General features: G+C 39.7%; 1 protein-coding gene across 1 annotated transcript in view; it reads left to right on the forward strand.

Moving 5' to 3' along the window:
• Window positions 1-22093, forward strand: part of C1orf21 (chromosome 1 open reading frame 21) — a 241991-nt gene that overhangs the window by 196809 nt on the left and 23089 nt on the right. The window contains exons 4-5 of the mRNA NM_030806.4: window positions 6902-6978; window positions 14564-14624. Of these exons, the coding sequence (NP_110433.1) occupies window positions 6902-6978; window positions 14564-14624 (138 nt within the window). The remainder of the gene's footprint in view (window positions 1-6901; window positions 6979-14563; window positions 14625-22093) is intronic.

Below are 22093 nucleotides of genomic sequence, written 5' to 3' on the forward strand. Positions count from 1 at the left end.
GCAGTTGGTCTCGGTTTGTTTTAGGGAGAATACTTAGTTCACAAGTGTCAAATACCATCAAAATAGTTTTTTCTTGCTAAAAGAAACAGTATCTTAGTTGCTTCGTCTGTCATCTCGCAATTTATTCTCTTTTCTTATTTCTGGAGCACCTCAGATATTGCATAGCTCTCAGCCCCCTCTGCTGGGTCTGCTTTATCCGAGCTGCTGCTGGTAGTGAACCACGTGTCTCACTGCTCCCACCACTTTCTCCTTCCCCCTCCTTCCAGCCCTGTTGGTTTGTTTGCTTGTTCTTCTTCTTTTTTTTTTTTTTTTTTTTTTAAGAAAGCAGATCTCTTTAAACCTACCCTTTCCCAACACACAAATCCCAAAGTAGAAGTTAAATGTTTATAAACAAATATAAAACTGACTTCTTTATGCAAATGCGCCAACAAGTTAAGTATACACATGCTCCTAAGGTGGATTTTCTGGAGAATACACCAATATAACAAGCCTTAAAAAATCATGTTTTCAAGTAAATAAAACCCACAGTGAGATCCCACTACACACTACCTAGAATGACAGTAGTTGAAAAGACAATGCCAAGTGTTGGTGGTGCAGATGTGGAGAAACTACAGCCCTTCTGCATTGTTGATGGGAATGTAAAATGGTGCAGCCACCTTGGAAAACAGTTTGGAAGGTCTTAAATAATGAAACATAAACTTACTATGTAATCTAGCAGTTCTACTCCTAGGAATCTACCTAAGGGAAATGAAAACGTGTCTACAAAAAGACTTCTATCTGAATGTTCATAACATCGCTATTCATAATAACCACAAACTGAACACAATATCAATGTCCATCAAGGGATGGGGAGATGAACAAAATGTGGTGTATCCATACATTGGAATATTATTTAGCAATGAAAACAAATAGAATACTGTTATATGCTACAATTTGGATGAATCTCAAAAACATTATGCCAAGTGAAAAATGCTGGGCACAAAAGGCTAAATATTGTGTGATTTCATGACATGAATCTAGAAAAGGCAAATTTCTAGAGACTGAAAGCAGATCTGTGGTTGCCCAGCACTATGAATGAGAGCAGAGATGACCTGTAAGTGGTGATAAAGAAACTTTCTGGGATGATGGCACTATGTTGAAACTGGATTGTCGTGATGACTGCATAGCTCTATAAATTTACTAAAATCATTTAATCATATAGTTGTAGTGGGGGAATTTTATAGAATGTAAATTTTACCCCCATAAGGCTGTTAAATATTTGTTTTTAAAAATAAGCCATATAGCATAATTAAATAATTAATAGTTCTTTTCTCTGCAAAAGAAATAGAGAGGCACTATGGTCAAAGTGTGGTCTGGGGGTCCCTGAGACTTTCTCAGGGAGTTCTTGAAGCCATTTTCCTAATGATACTAAGAGGCTATTTGCTTTTCTCATGGTGTTGACATATGCACTGATGCTGCAACAGCAACAGTAAGGTAAACTGCTGGTGCCTTAGCCTAAACCAAGGCATTGGCATCAAACCTTCTTAGTAGACATTGTATTCTCCACTGCTGTTTTCACTTAAGAATGCTCTCAATGAAGCAGTAAAAATTATTTAATTTTATAAAATGTTGTGGCTTGTGTGCATACCTTTATTTAACTTTTATTTTCAGGTCAGGGGTACACATGGAGGTTTGTTACATAGGTAAATGCGTGTCATAGGGGTTTGTTGTACAGATTATTTCATCACCCAGGTATTAAGGCTAATACCCATCAGTTATTTTTCCTGATCCTCTCCCACCTCCCACCTTCCACCCTCTAATAGGACCCAGTGTGTGATGTTCCCCTCTATGTGTCCATGTCTTCTCATTATTTAGCTCCCACTTATAATTGGGAACATGCGATATTTGGTTTTTGTTTCTCTGTTATTTTGCTAAGGATAATGGCCTTCAGTTCCATCCATGTTCCTGCAAAGGACATGACCTCATTCTTTTTTATGGCTGCATGGTATTCCAGATGTATATGTACCACATTTTCTTTATTCAGTCTACCACTGGTGGGCATTTGGGTTGATTCCATGTCTTTGCTATTGTGAGTAGTTCTGCAATGCACATGTGCCTGTGTGTGTCTTTATGATAGAACGATTTATATTCCTTTGGGTATATAATCGGTAATGGGATTACTGGGTCAAATGGTAGTTCTATTTTTAGATCTTTGAGGAATCACCACACTGTCTTTCAAAATGGTTGAATTAATTTACACTCCTACCAACAGTGTATAAGTCCACAACTTCAATAGCATCTGTTATTTTTCGACTTTTTAATAGCCATTCTGATTGATATGAGATAGTATCTCATTGTGGTTTTGATTTGCATTTCCTGATGATCAGTGATGTTAAACTTTTTTTCATATGATTGTTGGCTGCATGTCTGTCTTCTTTTGAGAAGTGTTTGTTCATGTCTTTTGTCCACTTTTTTTTTTTTTTTTTGAGACGGAGTCTCGCTGTCGCCCAGGCTGGAGTGCAGTGGTGCAATCTCGGCTCACTGCAGGCTCCGCCCCCTGGGGTTCACGCCATTCTCCTGCCTCAGCCTCCCGAGTAGCTGGGACTACAGGCGCCCGCCACCTCGCCCGGCTAATTTTTTGTATTTTTAGTAGAGACGGGGTTTCACCGTGTTAGCCAGGATGGTCTGGATCTCCTGACCTCGTGATCCGCCCGCCTCGGCCTCCCAAAGTGCTGGGATTACAGGCGTGAGCCACCGCGCCCGGCCTTGTCCACTTTTTAATGGGGGTTGTTTGGGGGTTTTTTTCTTGTAAATTTGTTTAAGTTCCTTATTGATGCTGGATATTAGACCTTGTCAAATGCATAGTTTGCAAAATTTTTCTCCCATTCTGTAGGTTGTCTGTTCACTCTGATGATAGTTTTTTGTTTTTTGTTTCATTTTGTTTTGCTGAGCAGAAGCTCTTTAGTTTAATTAAATCCCATTTGTCAATTTTTGCTCTTGTTGCAGTTGTTTTTGATGTCTTTGTCATGAAATCTTTGTCCATTCCTATGTCCAAAATGCTGTTGCCTAGGTTGTCTTCCAGAGTTTTTATAGTTTTGGGTTTTACATTTAAGCCTTTAATCCATCTTGAGTTAATTTTTGTATATCGTGTAAGGAAGGGGTCCAGTTTCAAGCTTCTGCATATGGCTAGCCAGTTATCCCAGCACCATTTATTGAATAGGGAATCGTTTCCTCATTGCTTGTTATTGTCAGGTTTGTCAAAGATCAGATAGTTGTAGGTGTACAGGCTTATTTCTGGGTTCTCTGTTTTGTTCCATTGGTCTATGTGTCTGTTTTTGTACCAGTACCATGCTGTTTTGGTTGCTGTAGTCCTGTAGCATAAAGTCAGGTAGTGTGATGCCTCCAGCTTTGTTCTTTTTCCTTAGGACAGCCTTGGCTATTTGGGCTTTTTTTTTTTTTTTTTTTCGGTTCCATGTGAATTTTAAAATAGTTTTATTCTAGTTCTGTGAAGACATTGGTAGTTTAATAGAAATAGCATTGAATCTATAAATTGCTTTGGGTAGTATGGCCTTTTTAACAATATTGATTCTTTCTATCCATAAACGTGGAATGTTTTTTCCACTTGCGTCATCTCTCATTTCTTTGAGCAGTGTTTTGTAGTTCTCGTAGAAATCTTTTAGCTCCCTGCTTAGCTGTGTTCCTAGGAATTGTGTGTGTGTGTGTGTGTGTGTGTGTGTGTGTGTGTGTGTGTGTAGTGAATGGGACTGCATTCCTAATTTAGCTCTTGGCATGACTGTTGTTGGTGTATAGGAGTGCTAGTGATTTTTGTTTTTGTATGGTTTTTTTTTTTTTTTGAGATGGAGTCTTGCTCTGTTGCCCAGGCTGGAGTGCAGGTCATGATCGATTCTCCTGCCTTAGCCCCCCAAGTAGCTGGGATTAGAGGCACACACCACCATGCCTGGCTAATTTTTATATTTTCGTAGAGATGGAGTTTCATCATGTTGGCCAGGCTGCTCTGGAGCTCCTGACCTCACATAATCTGCCTGCCTCAGCCTCCTAAAGTGCTAGGATTGCAAGCATGAGCCACTGTGCCCAGCCACGGTATACATTGATTTTGTACCTTGATTTTGTGTCCTGAGACTTTGGATGCATATCTTTTTAATAGCCTGTGTGATGAAATGGGAAGTATGCATAAAGCATTTCTTCTGCATGTCCAGGTTAGACGGTTATCATGGAGAAAAGCACCTCTATAGCTGATTGAGTTGAAAGCTGAACTAGGCATTGTTTTTTATAGGACATCTTCTCTATTTTAAAAATATATATCTCTGGCAGATAAATTATGGATATTCAGACCTGGTATTTGGTAAATCATTTTCTTAAAAAAGAGTAAGGGAGCCTGACACTTCAAGAAAAATAACTGACAGTATCTCTTGCCAGTGATAAAATTCAAACTTTAAACAAAATCTATAAGTTTGGAAAACTTATATTCACTACCATGAGCTTGACAGCTTCAGTCAATGGTTTTCTGATGAGATTGATGGTGATTTTAACAAATGGGATTTTTTTATGTTGTACAATGAAATGTGTCAAAATTTGGAGATTATAGGTAAAAGGGTCTTGACCCTAAAAAGTTTGAGAAATGCTGAGCTAGTAGTGAACAGCATGGAGTTTGGGGCCAAACTGCTTGGGTTCAAATCCCTGCGCTACTGCTTATTACTTGTATGGTCTCAGGTAAGTGCTTCACCGCTGTATGCCTCAGCTTCCTCATCTGTAAAATGGGGATAATAATGGTACCCAACCGTGAGAGGTATTGTAGGCATAAAAATGAGTTAATATATATAAATATTAGTGAATGTTAAAATGAATTAATATTTGGAAGTGCTTAGAATAATGCCTGACTTACAGTAAGTGCTCAGTGAGTGGTTATTATTGGTCTTGGTGAGAGAAAATTTGTAAAACTGAGCAAACACATTGTAAATACATAGTAGAAGAAAGTTTTTTTGGAATTATATGGGAAATCCTAAACTGCTTTTCTTCCTGTTGCCTCTGTCTCACTTTTGGCCCTGGAAGCGCACTCCTGGGAGTGATGCGTTACTGAGGGCCGGCTTCTTCTCAGTCCTGCTTGTCCATTGAGCCTCTGTTGTTTGGGGAGATCCTTCCTTACTTAGCAACCACAGAATGGGTTTTTAAGAAAGACTTGCTGAGGCAACATAATTTTCAAGGGTACAGTTAAATAAATGGAATATAAACAACATACCACTGTATATCCTTTGCATTTTTAGAATTAGAAGTCACTTTCCTGCCTCAGCAATGTTTAAAATTACAGTGCATTTCTTTTAAGCTCAAAGAGTTGCGGAAATTATGTGAAAGAGAAAGAGGATAAGGTCTTGTTCATTTTCAGTGTTTAATCTAAGACAACATAAGATTTAAAGGAGAAAAGGACCAACTTGGAAGGAACTTACGCCTTCAGTCCTACAAAGAGACTACATTTGAGCTATTCTTACCTCTAACTTTTAAAAACACGTGAATGACTTTTTGACATCGTTCATTCATTCACCAGTATTTGCTGAGTGCCGCTCATGAAGTGCCAGGCCCCTTACCCCATGTGGTAAAGAAAGGACATGGGCCCTGCCCTTCTGTTGTGAGTGCATTCGGGTTTTCTAATTTCTCCCACCTGCTTTGTAAAAGATTAGGAGTGTTCATCTACTGTTCCCTGACATACGTCAACAGACAGAACAATATGTTTTATCCTTCTTAAATGTTCATGAAAACATTCTGAAGTTAGTATAAGGTAAAGAAGGTAAGATAGACTGCAAGAAACTTATGATTGTTTCTTTTCCTAAAAGAAAACAAACAAAATCACATATTTTTTGGAGTACTGATGATAGGCACATAAGCTCATGTTTGATAGTTAATAACAAACAACTAGAATATGTAAGTCATTGGAGTTTCACTGACTTAAGTGGCTTCTGCTGTCCCAGGAGAAATAGGACCTCAAAAAGAGCTCATTTGGGGACCATCTGTTTTATGTGTCATCCCACATCACTCTGCATGTGATGAGAATGTTGCATCGGCCCATGGCAGTTTTTATTCCTCACTCTAGATTTGGTCTTTAATTGTGGCCTTACCTCAAGTTCCTCGAGTGTATATAGTCACCTGTTACATAGGTTCAGAGTGGTCTTTCCTTTCATTTCAGGGGTATGTTTTGTGAGCAAATTATAAAGCACCTTGAATATCTTTTTAAGATAACGTTGAAAAATGCAGAGCAGTAGTATTATTGAGATCATGTCCTTACTGATATACTAGCATTTTAAGATTTGAGAGTATTTCCTTCCCATGTGGCTAGTTATTGGGAATAAGAAATTAGGTCAGGCTAAAAGCCAAAGAAGTGTTTCTTGAATACAGGCTAGGATTGAATTGTAGTAATTCAATTGAATTCAATCTCAGCATTTGTCGTGGGTTTTAGTCATGTTCCTGTTCCTGTCACGGCTAGGGCCTTCAGCAAACTTTACATCTCAGTAAGTGCAGTTGTCTTTTACAAATAAATTGCACGGAAGTCAGTTAACCTGAGCAAGTGAACAAAGGCTGTGATTGTATTGCTGCTGTTTCTCTTGATACTAGATCTTCTGTTCTTTGATTCATTACTATTAGTGTTAAAGAATTAAATATTAACTGTACATTGTTTTCTAAACAGAGTCATAGTTGTTATAAAGCTAATTTCACTTTTCATAGCAGTGCTCCCTGTTTGGCAGGTTCTACCTGTTCTGTGTGTCATCTTTGCAAGGACTTTTGCCCTTGTGAGGTAACCAGCCGTAGTATAGGGCCCCAAACAGATTGAACGTTTGTGTGATGAAAACTCATACACTTGTTTAATTGTGGATTCTAATCCTGTCTTTCACATGTCTGTGTTTATGTGTTTCAGGAAAAAAGTGCCAGCTCAAATGTAAGACTTAAAACTAATAAAGAGGTTCCGGGATTAGTTCATCAACCCAGAGCAAAGTAAGTTCTAGTTTCTGTTTTCCTTATATAGTCGGCCTTCCATATCCATGGATTCTGCATCTGTGGATTCAACTACCCATGGATCAAAAATATTCAAAAAATAATAATTCTACAAAGTTCCAAAAAACAAAATTTGAACTTGCCGCACACCAAGTACTATGTTGAATTCATGTGAATGAAGTGATGTGTAGGCACTTCATTAGGTATTATAAGTAATCTAGAGATGATTTAGAGTATATGAGAGGATGTGTGGGGGTTATGCAAATTCTATACCATTTTATATCAGGGATTTGAGAATCTGCAGATTTTGTTATCTATCTGCAGGGAGGTCATGGAACCAATCCCCCACAGATACCAAGGAACAACTGCATTGTTTTTAAAGCTAAAAATGTTTTCAGAGTGAGTTCCATTTTGCCTACCAGATAATCAAGATCTAATATAAAGCTTTAGTAATTGAGAAAATGTGGTTTGGTGTAACAGAACAGAATAATGAAAACAGACCTACAATACATGACAAAGCTGACTTTGTAGGCCAGTTAGAAGAAAACAGAGGAGACTATCACTATGACCATGAGGTAGGGAAGAATTTTGCATATAAGACACAAAGGATGTAGTTCTTAAGGATAATCATTAATTAATATGACTGCACTAAAATTAAGAAGCTCTTAAAGCTCTTAAAGGTAAAACCCAAATGTCCATTGAAAATATAGGTCGGGCATGGTGGCTCACGCCTGTAATCCCAGCACTTTGGGAGGCCAAGGCGGGAGGATCACGAGGTCAGGAGATCGAGACCATCCTGGCTAACACGATGAAACCCCATCTCTACTAAAAATACAAAAACTTAGCCGGGCATGGTGGCGGGCTCCTGTAGTCCCAGCTACTCGGGAGGCTGAGGCAGGAGAGTGGCGTGAACCCTGGAGGTGGAGCTTGCAGTGAGCAGAGATGGCGCCACTGCACTCCAGCCTGGGCGACAGAGCGAGACTCCATCTCAAGGAAAAAAAAAAAAAAGAAAATATAATGGGTAACTAAACTGTGGCATCTAAACTGTGGGAATACTATACATCAGTGAAAATTAGTGCCTATAGGTACACATATCATGATGGAGGAATCTCATAAGGATGAGGCAGTAGAGTAAGCAGCGATACATGCCTACATGTGGTTTCATTCATATGAAGTCAAAAAACAGACAGAACTAAGGCATATGTTGTCTGTTAGTATATGGTAAAACAATAAAGAGATATAAGGAAATGAAAAGGCATTAAATTCAGAATATTAGTTATTTCTGACCAAATGGAGGACAGTGGAACCAGAGGCTCTATTTCTTAATCTGGGTGGTAATTACATGAATGTTCAATTGTTATTTTGCAAAAAAAATGTACAAATAACATTATATGTCTTCTGTGTGTTAGGTACATCACAATTGGAAAGTTAAAAAGAAAAGAAAAAAATTAACTTGAAGAAAAAGATTATATCACGTGAGGATCTATTGAGTGCCTAATACATTTTCCCACTTACAGTAGAAACTTGAAAATATGATTGTTGATTACCAACAGATGACTATCCCGAAATGTTTCATTTAAAAGGTCATTGCATGTTCAAAAGTTAAAAAACAATAATGAGTAGTTTTCTAGATTGTTCTAGAACTGACTCTAACCTTAATGATAAAATATATTTTGTATGACTTTGAAGCCGTCCTCTCCTTCAAAGAGGCTGTGTTATCCCAGCGGCTACAAATCTCTATTAGTGTTTCACCTAAATGGAGACAAATTTCCTGAGAGTACCGATGACACTGGTACATTTGACACAGGCACCCCAACCCAAAATAAATTTGACTATTACATATGTGTATTGATAGCCCCATAAATCAAAATCATAAGCAGAAGAAGGTATGTTATCTCTGGTTCTTCCAGAAAATTGTGACAAAAATTACCTAACTCATAATCACTTTACCCTGGCTCAGTGTCTGTGGAGTCGCTGCAGCTATGGCCACTGTGGTGTCGCAGTTAGGAGACCTCAGGGGGTAGGTAATGGGCTCTGTCATTCAATTTTTACTTTCAAAGAAAACTGGACATGTTAAAATCCACTTACCATTTACAATGTCAGTGTAATGATGCGGCTGATGTTTTCACCCTCAGGTGAATGTTGTGCTATGGCCGCAACCTCCCTAGCCCACCTTACTGCTCATCACGTTCATCCACTTTATCTGCCTTTGGGGACAGCAGATATCTGATAACACAGCCAAACCACCTTATCATCCAGGATGTCTGAAAAATGCTATTTTAAAATGCTTCCCTTATCTCAGAGTTATAAAGAGAGATTGAATGGAGGAGAATTTCTCTTTTCTGTTTGAAAGAATACTTACTTAACATTGACACCCTGAAGCAGCACACTTCACAGACTGGCATGTGCTGAAGCTTTCAGAGGAGAAAATTCTGTTTTCCCCACAGCAGCATGCTTGTGTGTGTGTGTGTGTGTGTGTACACACACATGTGTGTATGTATTTCAAACTGTGAACAGAACATTGGATTCCTGGAATTCAATTAAGAAATCTTTCTGGAGGGCCAAGAGAAGAGTTTTACTTTTCCTACTTGCTGACATATAGGATCAATTTACTGTACTGATGCATAAAATAAGATGAGGCTTCTTCTTCCCCATGAGTGGAAGGACAATCCCATACCATAAAGGCAGATCATCCTCATACCACCATGAAGGCATGTCATCCTCATACCTTCATTTAATGCTTTAGTTTGATATCAGGCAAGTGACCTATGTCTTTGAGCTTCAGTTTTCTCAGAGAGAGATTGAAGTGAAAGATCCTGTCTTGAGCTGGAGAACAAATGAAATAGGGTATACCCACTGCTTATGGCATTGTCTGGCACTTGGTAAAAATGCCTTAAATATTAGAAATAACCCAGATGCCTTTAACAGGAGGTTGCGTGAATGCACCACACTATAGTCACACAATGGGATATTAGTCAGCAGTTCAAACAAATGCACAGCAGCAATGCGCAATATTGAATGGGCCCTAGCAGTCTAATATTACAAGAAAAGAGTAAGTCCTGAAAGATTACATAGAACATGACGCACTCTATAAAGTTAAAAACAACTGAAATAATCTGTCTTTTAAAGGCACACAAAGAGATGCATTAAAACTATATAAAAGCGAAGTGAGGGAGTGATAGTTACATTGGGTTGTGGGAACACACACGCAGATGGGAACTCACATGGAGTCAGCTATGGGTGGTTGTCAAGGTCCTCACTTTTGTTTTTTATTTTGGTTTCACAGGTGTTTATTATACTACTTTAAAAAAATAATTAACAAAATAAATAAAAGTGAGCTATGCATGAACTACTAGTAGGAGTCTGTCACAGAATGAGGGTTAGGATGAATCTACTTCCCTGAGGTCCAGTTGAAAAATGATGATCATGAAGGAAAAACTGTGTTCAGGCCAAGATTTACCAGGAACCCACCTAGTAATTTAATTTCATTTTTGCAGGGGAGGAAGAACTTTACCCCAACCCTCTCAGGATTTCTGGCTGGGCCTGAGAGTTAAGTTGACATGAGACAGATTTAACAGGAGAAAAGATATCAATTTCTACATGTACATGGGAGCCCCTATGAGAAAATGAAGACCCAAGAAGTGACAAAACCCACATATTTGTATACTAGGTTGAACAAACAGAAACAGTTATGGAAAAGCAGCTGAAATATGTGGGGAGACTAAAGGAAGAAAGGAATTATTTTAACAAAGTCTCTTGGTACAGAATTCTCTTGGCCTTGACTCCCTGTCTCTGGTGATAAGAATGTTTCTTTCCTCCTGGTGTGGGGAGGGCATTGTTCACATGGGAGTTTCATCTCCTTCTTTCAGGAAGAAAAGAGGAGGTCAGAAGTCCCCTCCTGCACCTGCTGTTTCCAGTTGTCTTTAGCTCAAAATAGTCCTTATGCTAAAGTAAGCATATTTTAGGATGGCTTATTCTGCCAGGCTTCACAGGTGAGGTATTAGGGAATTAGGACTTTGCCTTCTCATACTTTGGGGCTTAGCTTTTTATCATTTGCAGATTTTATTTTTTTAAGACACCAAAAGCGAAAGCCCCATATCTTTTAGCTCTAAAGCCCATTTTGCCCACCATTCATTAATTTGTTTACTTTGCATTAAGATGCCATTGTATTGTCATCCCTAGTCCCATGAAGCTGAGAAGTCTCAGGAAGAAGAGTGTTTGAGGGTGCAGAGTTAATTCACAAGAGCTTTGCCAGCGCTGACCAAGGGCACAGGGAGTGCTCCAGTGCTGCATTGAGTTTTCCAAGGTTGTTTTAGTTACGAGAGAGAAATAGGAATTACTAAAATTATTGAGCCTTATTGGTTAAGTCAGGTACCAATGTGCAGGCTTTTGTAAGTGAATGCTAGTGAATCTTTTGTAAGTGAATCTTAGAATCAATTATTCATCCTTTATGAACTTAAGTCATAAACAATTCAGTGATCCTTTTCTAATATCTTGAAAAAAGAAAAGCCAGTGAGCTTTTCCTCCTCATCTCCCCCACTCACAATCATCAAATTGTGCATCAGAAAGGATTTTAGAATCAAGTCTTTATGCAGGAACTGTTTTCTACAGTGCAGTTTGTACTCTTGAAGGTAAACACATATTCATGGTGCTGTGTGGATAAGTTTCTTTCACATGGGAAGAGGGGACCCATGTTTATCTAGACAGGAATCAGTTGATATGGGGAAATTTTTATTTCATCAGAATAAAAATTCTGTCCCTGCCCCATTGAAGAGATTTCTCTTCTTCTCCCTGAAACAATCCAATGGAGAACAGCAGAGTAGGCCTCATGCTTTCGGATGACACCATATCTGAGACGATGCACAGGTGACCCGTGTGGGCATTTGCTCCCCCGGCAATGTCTGACACACTTCCAGTGACAATGCAGGTTATCTGGAGGAGCCTGTCTGGTGCATCAAGCTTCCTTCCATTCAGTCTTTCCTAACACAACCCATGCACCGTACTTCAAGATGTCAAGAGAGTGACTCAGTCTGGTGTGTGACTCTTCTTCGTGGGTTATGAAATGTGGCAAAGGCAGGCAGGCATGTTCTAATGTTCTTAGACAAAGAAAAAGCAGGCAGCATTTCTATATTATGGGACAACACAAAACTGAAATCGCTGAGAGTTTTGTGGTTGCTTTCCTACATAAGCATCCCGAGGTCCTTAGCCACCACTTTTGGTCTCAAGCTCCTGATAGGGATCCCGACCCTGTGATAAGTGCATTCTTGATCGCAGAGGTTGCAGATACATTTGCAGAGTTACTTTTGTTTAAAAATGCCCCCTCTTGTCCCTCTCATGTGCATGTGTATGAGTACTGACCAAACGTTGCAGTTTTCATGTTGTGGTATTTAAATAAAGGAGCTAATGGAAGTTAGTGACAATCATAGACAGTAGAAGGGACATCAGTGACCAGCCCTGGTTTTATAGATGAGGACTCAGGCCCTGCACATCACCCCTGCTGACAAACTCTGCTGCTTCAGCAAGGGGTCATGAATCACATGAACTTAAATAGGGGGACTCTGTCAATTAATTAAGAAATATTTTTGGCCCTCCTGCTATATTCAAGGCAATATAATGCTAAAACCTCCAACCAGAGAGTTTCCACAATGAACGTCAAATCCTAAAAATGCCGTTTTTTATGAGGTCCCTGGAATATTTTCTAGGGCAACATTTCTGGGGCAACATATACATACGGTTATCTATCCAGTTACCTATATTAAGAGAAAGAGATCTGGCCAGGCGCAGTGGCTTACGCCTATAATCCAAGCACTTTAGGAGGCCGAGGTGAGTGGATCACCTGAGGTCAGGTGTTCAAGACTAGCCTGGCCAACATGGTGAAACCTCATCTATACTAAAAATACAAAAAATTAGCTGTACGTGGTGGCTCACGCCTGCAGTCCCAACTACTCGGGAGGCTGAGGCAGGAGAATTGCTTGAACCCAGGAGGCAGAAGTTGCAGTGAGCTGGGATCGCACCACTGTACTCCAGCCTGGGCGAAAGTGCGAGACGACTCTGTCTCAAAAAAAAAAAAAAAGAAAGAAAGAAAAGAAAAGAAAGAAGTGTTTATGAGAGAGATCCTCTATTATAAGAATATGAAATTTAGAAAGATTTGCATCCAACGTGGCTCAAATAAAAAATGTTTTGGTGCTTGAGACGGTGAAAACATAAGGAACCTGGGAAAACTCAGCTATGCAAACTGGCTTTTCTGCCCAGGATCCTACAGAGAGGAGACAGTTTAATGTACTCTCATCATCCCAGATTCTGTTCTGCCTTTCAAACCTGCAATAAGAGAGGGCGTGTTTCCCAAACAAAACGTTTACCTTATTTGAATGATCAGATAAAGGGCAGTAAAATTACGTGATATATGTGAAAGTGCTTTGTAAACCATGACAATTGATTAATGGAATCAGATATGTACATTGTTTTCCTTTGATAACCGAGTTAATGTCATTGCTCACAGATTTTAATGTTGCTTTTATACAGAGGGGACCCCCTCTGAGCCTCAGGCCCCACTGTCTGTCACAGGAGGCCTGGAGGGTTTCAGGTCACTTGTGCCCCTCCTTGTGGCCCCTAAAGGATAAGGCATGATGGTAAAGGGTACATTTCACCACACTTGGATATGAAGGGAAGAAGCCATTCCAGAGCCCACCCCCAGCCCCCTCCTTCAGACAGGACAACCAGTAGGCACTGATAGTAACTAAAGGAAACTCTGTGTGATAACGTGTCTTATCCAGCATCCTTCACCTCCTTGAAACACCCACAGCTATCTGCTAGGTAGAAGCAACCGTCATTAAGACCATGGCCCATTAAGACTAAGTCCTATACTGCCCCATGCTCTTCCCATATGTAATTCATCCCTGCTGTCCTTACCATCTTATTTTGTCCCCACCAGCCTTGTCAGCCGTCTCACTAAGAAGGCTGTTAAAAGTCACAGGACAGGAAACACAGAGCAAGTGCTGCTCAGACATGCGTCCTCCCACGTTCCAGTGGAATTGTGTTTTCAGAGGTGTATCTGCTGCCACCAGTGCAGAAAGTGCTCAGTAGTAATATCAGGTCATCTGTATGTCCTCAGCTTGTTTGCCACCGGCCCACACCCATAGTCAGCTGGAGATCATGCTGATACTGATAACCTTTGTAAAATATATATTTCAATACAATAACTAGGATACATTTTCTTTTTTATTTTTTTCAATACACTGTTGAAATATGCCTTATGCTGCTTGCTCATGCTTTTTTTTTAAATCACAAATGTGTATCTGAAGAAACAATTTGGCATTCAGCTCCTAGTAACATTACTATAAATAGCATCTGTACATTGAAAGGAAATTGTCTTCCTTTAAGTCATAGGCACTGATAGACAATTATGAAACACATTTGCAGGATTACTGTACTGTTTATCCTTAATGTAACTTCAGAGTATTTCAGTGGAAAAGTCTGCAATAAATAAATGTCTTCCCCAAAGTTTGGGGACTCTGCATTTTTCCTTTGAGGGGACCAGGTTTAGCAAAGCACTAAAATATGCACTTAACTACCCTTTGTTTTTCAGCATGCACATCTCTGAAAGCCAACAAGAATTCTTCAGAATGCTGGATGAAAAAATTGAAAAGGTAAGAAGTGAAATAAATAACCTACATGTTTCAAGGGAAGTATAGTAATGGCTTCATATGTGAGGGCAATAACATTCTTGTTTCTATGTCATAAAGCTATTTTTGTGAAGGTTTGGGTGGAGAGTTAAATAAAAGTCACCGCCCTTCCAAAATAAAGTGCATGTGAGAATGTTTAAGGTATAATAGACACTCCCAGGACCCAGGACTGTCCTTGCCTATTAAAGTATGTGAAGTCAGTTGGAAAGCAATAAGCAGTCTTTTTTTCTAGACCGAGCATTCTGACCACTGCATGTCATTTTGCACCCAGTACCCTGCACTAACCTCCGACTGCAAGGGGGCCCATAGTACCTGCTGAAACCTATCGAGGGCCTATGCATGGCACTGATCTGAGTTCTTTGCAAGCATGTTATACCTAATTCAATTTATACTTAGGAAAATGGCATTGAGACAGATATTATCTACATTTTACAGAAGGAAACAGGCTCAGAATGCTTGAGTAATTTACCCAGATTTGCAAGGCTAATAGTGGACAAGTTGGAATTCCAGCCCAGGTCTGTCTGACTCCAAAGCAGTGTCTCCAAGTTGCTTCTCTGGTAGTGTGTGGGGATTTATACTGACAGTAAGATACAAAGTCGATCTGTCATAATTAAGAGTTTACATACTTACAGAATTTAAATTCATCTCTTCAAAGGGGTGAATCTTAAATGGTAAAGATACAAATCCGAGTATTATAATTTTTTTATTCTAAAGAAGAGTGAACTTCTAAGTTCAGAACATATCACACTATGGTTAAGGTGTGACAGGCTGATTTTTACCTTTGAAATCTTTCTGTTTTAATTTGTATTTGTTTTTTACTTTGTGTTGTCCTTTTATTTTAGTATTTATTTATGAATTTCTAAGCTATGATGTATATCACTCAACAGAAGATAATGAAGAAGGTCTTAAATTCATTAGTATTATTTAGCAGCAGATCCCACTTTGACATGGACCCTCTGAGAGAATAATTGTATCATCTTCTAAGCCACCATTAAAAGACCAGCAAAGGTCACCAATGCGAAAAATAGAGATGGATAATGAATTAAAATGAGAGTTAAATCTATAATGTTCCCTGGATGTAAATAAATAAATACTTGTTAAAGTATAATAATTTTTTTTTATTTTCAGTGGAATTGTGGCTTATGAATGACTTTTTAAGTTGGAAACTTCATCCAGGAACAGTTGCCAAGTTTCACATATTGGTTCAAAAGCTGTTCAATTTGTCAGTAACCTTTTTTAGTAAAGAGAAGCATAAAAAGAAATACAGGTTAAGTATCCCTAAATCGAAATCCAAAATGCTCCAAAATCTGTAACTTTTTGAGTGCAGACATGATGCTCGAGCATTTTCAATTTCTGGACTAGGGTTGTTCAACCAGTAAGTATATATAACACAGATATTCCAAAATTCGGAAACGTTTGAACTTCAAAACACTTCTGGCCGCAGGCATTTCAGATAAGGAATACTCAACCTGTATTTTCTTCCCACTGAAACGATGAAGATCTTTTCTTCCTTTCTTTATTTGGACTTCCCCCCACTAGCTTTTTGGCAAGAAAAAGATTTGCGTAGTAGTTAGGGGTAGATGGTAAAACTTGAAACCTGAATTTTAAGTTATCTTTTTAAACAACACTTACAAACACTTAAAATGATATAATCTATATCCAATGTGGGTTTTTTTTTTCTTTTTTTTGAGACGAGGTCTCACTTGTCACCCAGGCTGGAGTGCAGTGGTGCAATCTCAGCTCACTCTGGCCTCTGCCTCCCAGGTTCAAGTGATTCTCCTGCCTCAGCCTCCTGAGTAGCTGGGATCACAGGTGTGTGTCACCACGCCCAGCTAATTTTTGTATTTTTAGTAGAAACAGGGTTTCACTGTGTCAGCCAGGCTGGTCTCGAACTCCTGACATCAGGTGATCGACGCACCTCAGCCTCCCAAAGTGCTGGGATTATGGGCGTTGAGCCACCGTGCCTGGCCCAGTGTGTTTTGGTAATTGAAATTCTAACTCTTTTTACTCAGAATTGAAGTTCATTGCTCCCACCTGAAATCTGAGATCCCCTTTTGCTTTTGCATCCAGAATGTAGAGTACAACAAAATAAAGAGTAATCCAGAATGTAGAGTAAAACAAAAATAAAGTTTATAACTTGATCATTCGTTGGATGGAAGCTTCCCTGGACAAAAGAGCATTGGTAGATTCAACATAAACACTGTTTCCACTATTGAATACATTTACATTGGAAGAAGAGCTCCTATATCAGCCATGACAGGTACCCAGCTGTAGATTCTTACAGGCAATTTTCTCTCCTCTCTGAGCCATGCTTTCCTGCCTCTCCTCTCTTAAAGCTCATCCTTCCAAATATTTTGAATATGCTATCTTATGTGTCGTTTAAACATTAAGCCTCCAAAAATTAAAATGCTCCTCCTTAATATATGTGTTTGCTTAATGTAGTCTGCCATCGTTTATATAACCAAAATTGAAAGCTGGATTCTTCCAAATTTCTTCCAAATTGTTTTCCTGGTCATTTACCATTGCTAAATATTTATTTGGTCCAGGCTAGCATGAGGACAACCATAAATGCAAGTCAAATCTATTTAGATTTTACAGAGTTGGTTAAAAACAAAAAGAAGATTAAACTCACCTAGAGCTTCATGTTGAGAGATTTGAGTCATGCTGAGAGACCTTGAGTTTTAAGATTTCATCTCTCCCAGAAGTGACTAGTAATTCTTTTTTTCTCCCTTAAATTAATAAGAAGCAAAACTGACTAAACCTATGGAGATGTAAATGTGCCCTTCCTTGATGCAGCCTTTGCATTTATTGGATGTCTTTAGGGCATGGCTTGAATTTACCTTCTAACCTAATTTGTTATTGGATACCAAAAAACAAATTTCTGCTCTATCTCCCTCAAAATAGATGTAAAAGCACCATTAGTATACAGAAACCAGGACTGAAAGGTGGTTTCATATCTATAGTAAAACTTAATTTGCACATTTTGGACTACTCTAATTCAGAGATTGTCACAGTGCAGAGCTGCTGTTTACCTTTGCACCACAGCTGAACAAGTGGTTTTCTAAGAAGTTATGGTGATCAATAAAAAGCAGGTAGCAGAAATGCAATTTAAAAAAATGATTCAGCCAGGCGCGGTGGCTCACACCTGTAATCCCAGCACTTTGGGAGGCCAAGGTGGGCGGATCATGAGGTCAGGAGTTCAAGACCAGCCTGGCCAACGTGGTGAAACCTCATCTCTACTAAAGGTACAAAAATTAGCCGGGCGTGGTGGCACACGCCTGTAGTCTCAGCTACTCAGGAGGCTGAGGCAGGAAAATCACTTGAACTCGGGAGGTGGAAGTTGCAGTGAGCCGAGATCCTGCCACTGCACTCCAGCCTGGGTGACACAGCAAGACTCCATCTCAAAAAAAAAAATAATAAAATAAAATAAGATTCAGCACCTACTGAATACTACACTAAGCATTATGCTAGTTACTGAGGATACAAAATTAGATAGGAATTATAGAGTACAATATAAATAAATAGTAAACAGTCCATTGCTTTGACAAGTTCAATTTTAAAAGTGAATTTTAAAAAAATCTAATTATTTTTCTGATCAAGGAGTACTTCACCCATCACCACCACCACCATCCTCACCCTCACCCTGCTATTGTCACTGAGAGTGAGGTTCTCCTCCGTGGAACACAACTATTTGCCTTCTAAGCTGGTTCAGGGGTTGGAACTTCAGGTCCTTTAACCAGGGATTTGGGACTTGGTACCATTTCACATGCTGGTGGTGGGAGGCCACAACACTCTGCTGCGACCGGAGATGACCAAGAGAGACAGATTGTCAGGAGAGCAGTGAAAGTTCAAAGAAGCTTGTAATCTGATTTACTTTTGCTTTTCCTTTTGGAGAGTAAAAACACTGTGAACCAGTGGGAGCCACCTAATTTCTGTTCACCTCATTATTTTTTACTCTGCTATCTAACCATCGTTATTCCACTGGAATCTATAGTTACTATTGTAACTCATGATTCACAGGCTCCTAGAATCTTTTTTGAAGTGTTAGCATTTGCCTAACTTTGCAGCTTTAAGAAAATGACAGTTTTCTGTGGAGCAAAATAGTGATTTTAAACTTCATTTTTTCACTGTACCTAGAGAGGGAAGACAGTATCTAGATTAAAGTAGCCTGTGGAGGAGTTTCTGAATATAGCACCAAATACAGATGACATCAGATGTTAAGATATGCTTTCCACTATACATTCCAGTTTGTTTGTAAAAAGCAGAAAAAATAAATAAATTTTTTAGGTATCTGCAATAATAGTATCTTCTACAGGCAAAACAGGGATTTACATTTTGCTTTATGAAGATGTAAGACCCTAGCTGATGACCAGGGAGTCCTTGGCTTCCTCAAAGAGGATCCTGAATATTAAATAAAGAGTATCTTAGTACAATGTCACTTGCACCTGATTACTGTTTCTGATGAAAGGCTTCTTAAACTTTGTTGGGCCTTGTACATCTTTTTGGAGTCTTACAAAAGTTACAAAGACTCTCCCTATGAAAATGCACAAATCATATACACAAAACTTTTAAGTATAATTTCTGGGTTTTAAGACTCCATGGAGCCTGGCCATGGGCCCCAGGCAAAGAAACTTTGGATTTCTTTCTTATGTATTTTGCTGGTGTGCTTCCGTCAGATCCAGGGCCCAGCTGCAGTCATGAGCATGCATGAGCCTAGCTGGCGACCCTATCCATAGATAGTTGTGACTTTAAAGAGGATTAGGGAATTGAGTGCAGATGACACCATGCAAACTCATTCTTCTTCCTTTCTTATATCCCCTCCTTCCTGTCTGTAAAAATAGTTCACAGTCTCCTGAGGGAGAGCCATGAGCATGCCTAGTGCATCTCACATATTCCTGTGTGATCTTGAGATTCTGGCTCTGTTGATTGACATTATTCAATGTGACATTTCAGAAAAACTCTGAGAAAGAGCAGTATGTGGACTTAAATCAGCTGATTTTAAAAGATGTTTGTTTGGCTGGGTGCAGTGGCTCACGCCTATAATCCCAACACTTTGGGAGGCCGAGGCTGGTGGATCACCTGAGGTCAGGAGTTCAAGGCCAGCCTAGCCAACATGGTGAAACCCTGTCTATACTAAAAATACAAAAATTAGCCAGGCCTGATAGTGCACGCCTATAATCCCAGCTACTCGGGAGGCTGAGGCATGAGAATCGCTTGGACCTGGGAAGTGGAGGTTACAGTTGAGCAGAGACCACGCCACTGCCCTCCAGCCTGGGCGACAGAGCAAGACTCCGTGTCAAAAAAGTAAATAAAAATAAATAAAAGATATTTGTTTGTCTGTAGACCTCTACATCTATTGAACAGTCATTTACACTTACAAAATGTTGGAGTTCTTGAAGTGGCATTATTTCCATGGCCTCAGAACTAACGTGGTTGGTGAAAAAGGTCATGGTAAATCTGCATTCGTAAATTTTTTTCAAGAATTGTCTACTGACAGTACATCAGATTAGTCTGATCCATGTTATGAGTCGGTGTGTCAGAGATCAGAAGACGTTTGCTTTTCATCCAGTGAAGAGAGTGACTTGCACATAGTTGTGAACTATGATGTTGGGTTCTACGTGTAAACGATTTCTGTAGTCTATTAAACCTCAGAGTTGTTACAGAACCAAATATAATTGTTTGGCAGATGTGGTGGATATGATGATGGGTTTTATTTTTTTAACTGTGTGTGTAAAGACCTGCTTAGTGCCCACCAATGATAAGAAAACCTGGGACTGTCACGTCAAAACCTAAACAATGTAACATGACCTGCCCCACGTGTGCAGAGAAAGTCATGGTGTGTTCCTCCCACCCAGCAGGTTGTCACTTTCAGTAGCAACCAAAGCCTTCAGCACTGGCAGAGAGATACTCTTGCTGGCATATGTAGTTTAGCAGTGGGCAGGGCTGCCATCGTCATTCCATGAAACAATTTCTTGCTCCATGGTAAACATATTTTAACCAAGTTGCTTTGCTCATAACCAAGTCTGTTTTTGTCTCCTCTCCCTTCATCACCTTGCCTTGCCATCTCTCTCCTCTGAGTGTACCTTTCCTCATTCTTCAGCCAAATTAGAGCTATAATTACAACAGGCAAGGATGTGACTCAGTCTGTTTTGGTTTTATCTCTACTGCATAGTTTTATGCAAATGACTTCTTAATTGTCATGATGATGACACTGGTGTAGGAACCACTGGTGAAGTGTGTGCATACTCTGGGCTTTAGGATCCTGCATGCCCATCCAGCTAACAGTAGTAGATGAGTCTGTCAAGGAAAATGAGTCAGGCAACAAGCTGAAAAGAAATGCAACACACTTTCTTTTTTCTGGAGGGCTTGATTTTCAGAAAATTCTTGAGGATCTATCAGCCTGGCTCTTTAGGGAGCAAGAAGAAAAGGAGAGTTCAGTTTCTAATGCAACATAGTCATGAGTCCAAATAAAAACCACGCCATTTCTGTGCATCAGGTGTGGCCAACAACACTCTGAACTCAATAGCAGTGTGAGGCACAATCAGTGAATGGTATCATTTTGCCATGGATGCAAGTATTTGGACAAGGAAAGAAACCCAAGGTACAACTGAGAGTAACAGGAATGTTGGTGTGTCTCATTCCCTTGACTAGTTCTCATTCAGCTTCTCCTTGCCCTCTCTTCAGCTATCCTTTTCTCTTCCTTCCCATTACCTTTCCATTCATTAGGTTTGGCAGTCATGGATGTTGCTTCAGCCCTGCAGAGAACACGCAGGGAGAGAAGGGTCCCACTCTTGGTAACTACTGCATTGTTATTTACGAACATCTAAAAGGACTCACTTTAGACTGACAGCTCCCTAAGGATAAGAATTGGGTCTCATTTGTCTTTGTTTCCTCAGAACCTAGCACAGGGCTTGGGACAAAACAGATGCTTAAGAAACTTGTTGAATGAGTGAATGGTGCAGATAAGAACACTGGGCTTCAAATGGAGACAGAAGCATACAAAGGCAGGAAATGTTACCTGGAAGACTCCTAGAGTAGACATCTCTACTTGGAGCAGCGTAGCAGGTATAGAGCAAGCACAGTGCCAGATAATTGGATTGATAGAGGCCAAGGGAAGGAGGCAGCATGGTGCAAGAGAAAGAGCCCATGCTTCAAACCTGGGCCAAAGCCAAGGATTGGCTCTGGCAGCAGCTGTGTGACCCCAGGTTAAGTTAAACTCTCTGATTCTCAGTTTTCTCACCAATAAAATTTGAGAAATAATACTAACTGGTCTGGGATATTGAAGAAAATACACAGAGTCTCCAGTAGTGTTTGCTGTGTTGTATGTGCTCTGTAATTGGTAGCCTTCATTTTGGTTGAAGTCGCCTGTGTTTGTACCATCAAGGCCATTTATACAGGAAGGATTTGGGATGGGCTTGTTGGGGGTGGTGCTA

Source organism: Homo sapiens, chromosome 1 (genome assembly GCF_000001405.40).
Source record: "Homo sapiens chromosome 1, GRCh38.p14 Primary Assembly".
NCBI classification, from domain to species: Eukaryota; Metazoa; Chordata; class Mammalia; order Primates; family Hominidae; genus Homo; species Homo sapiens.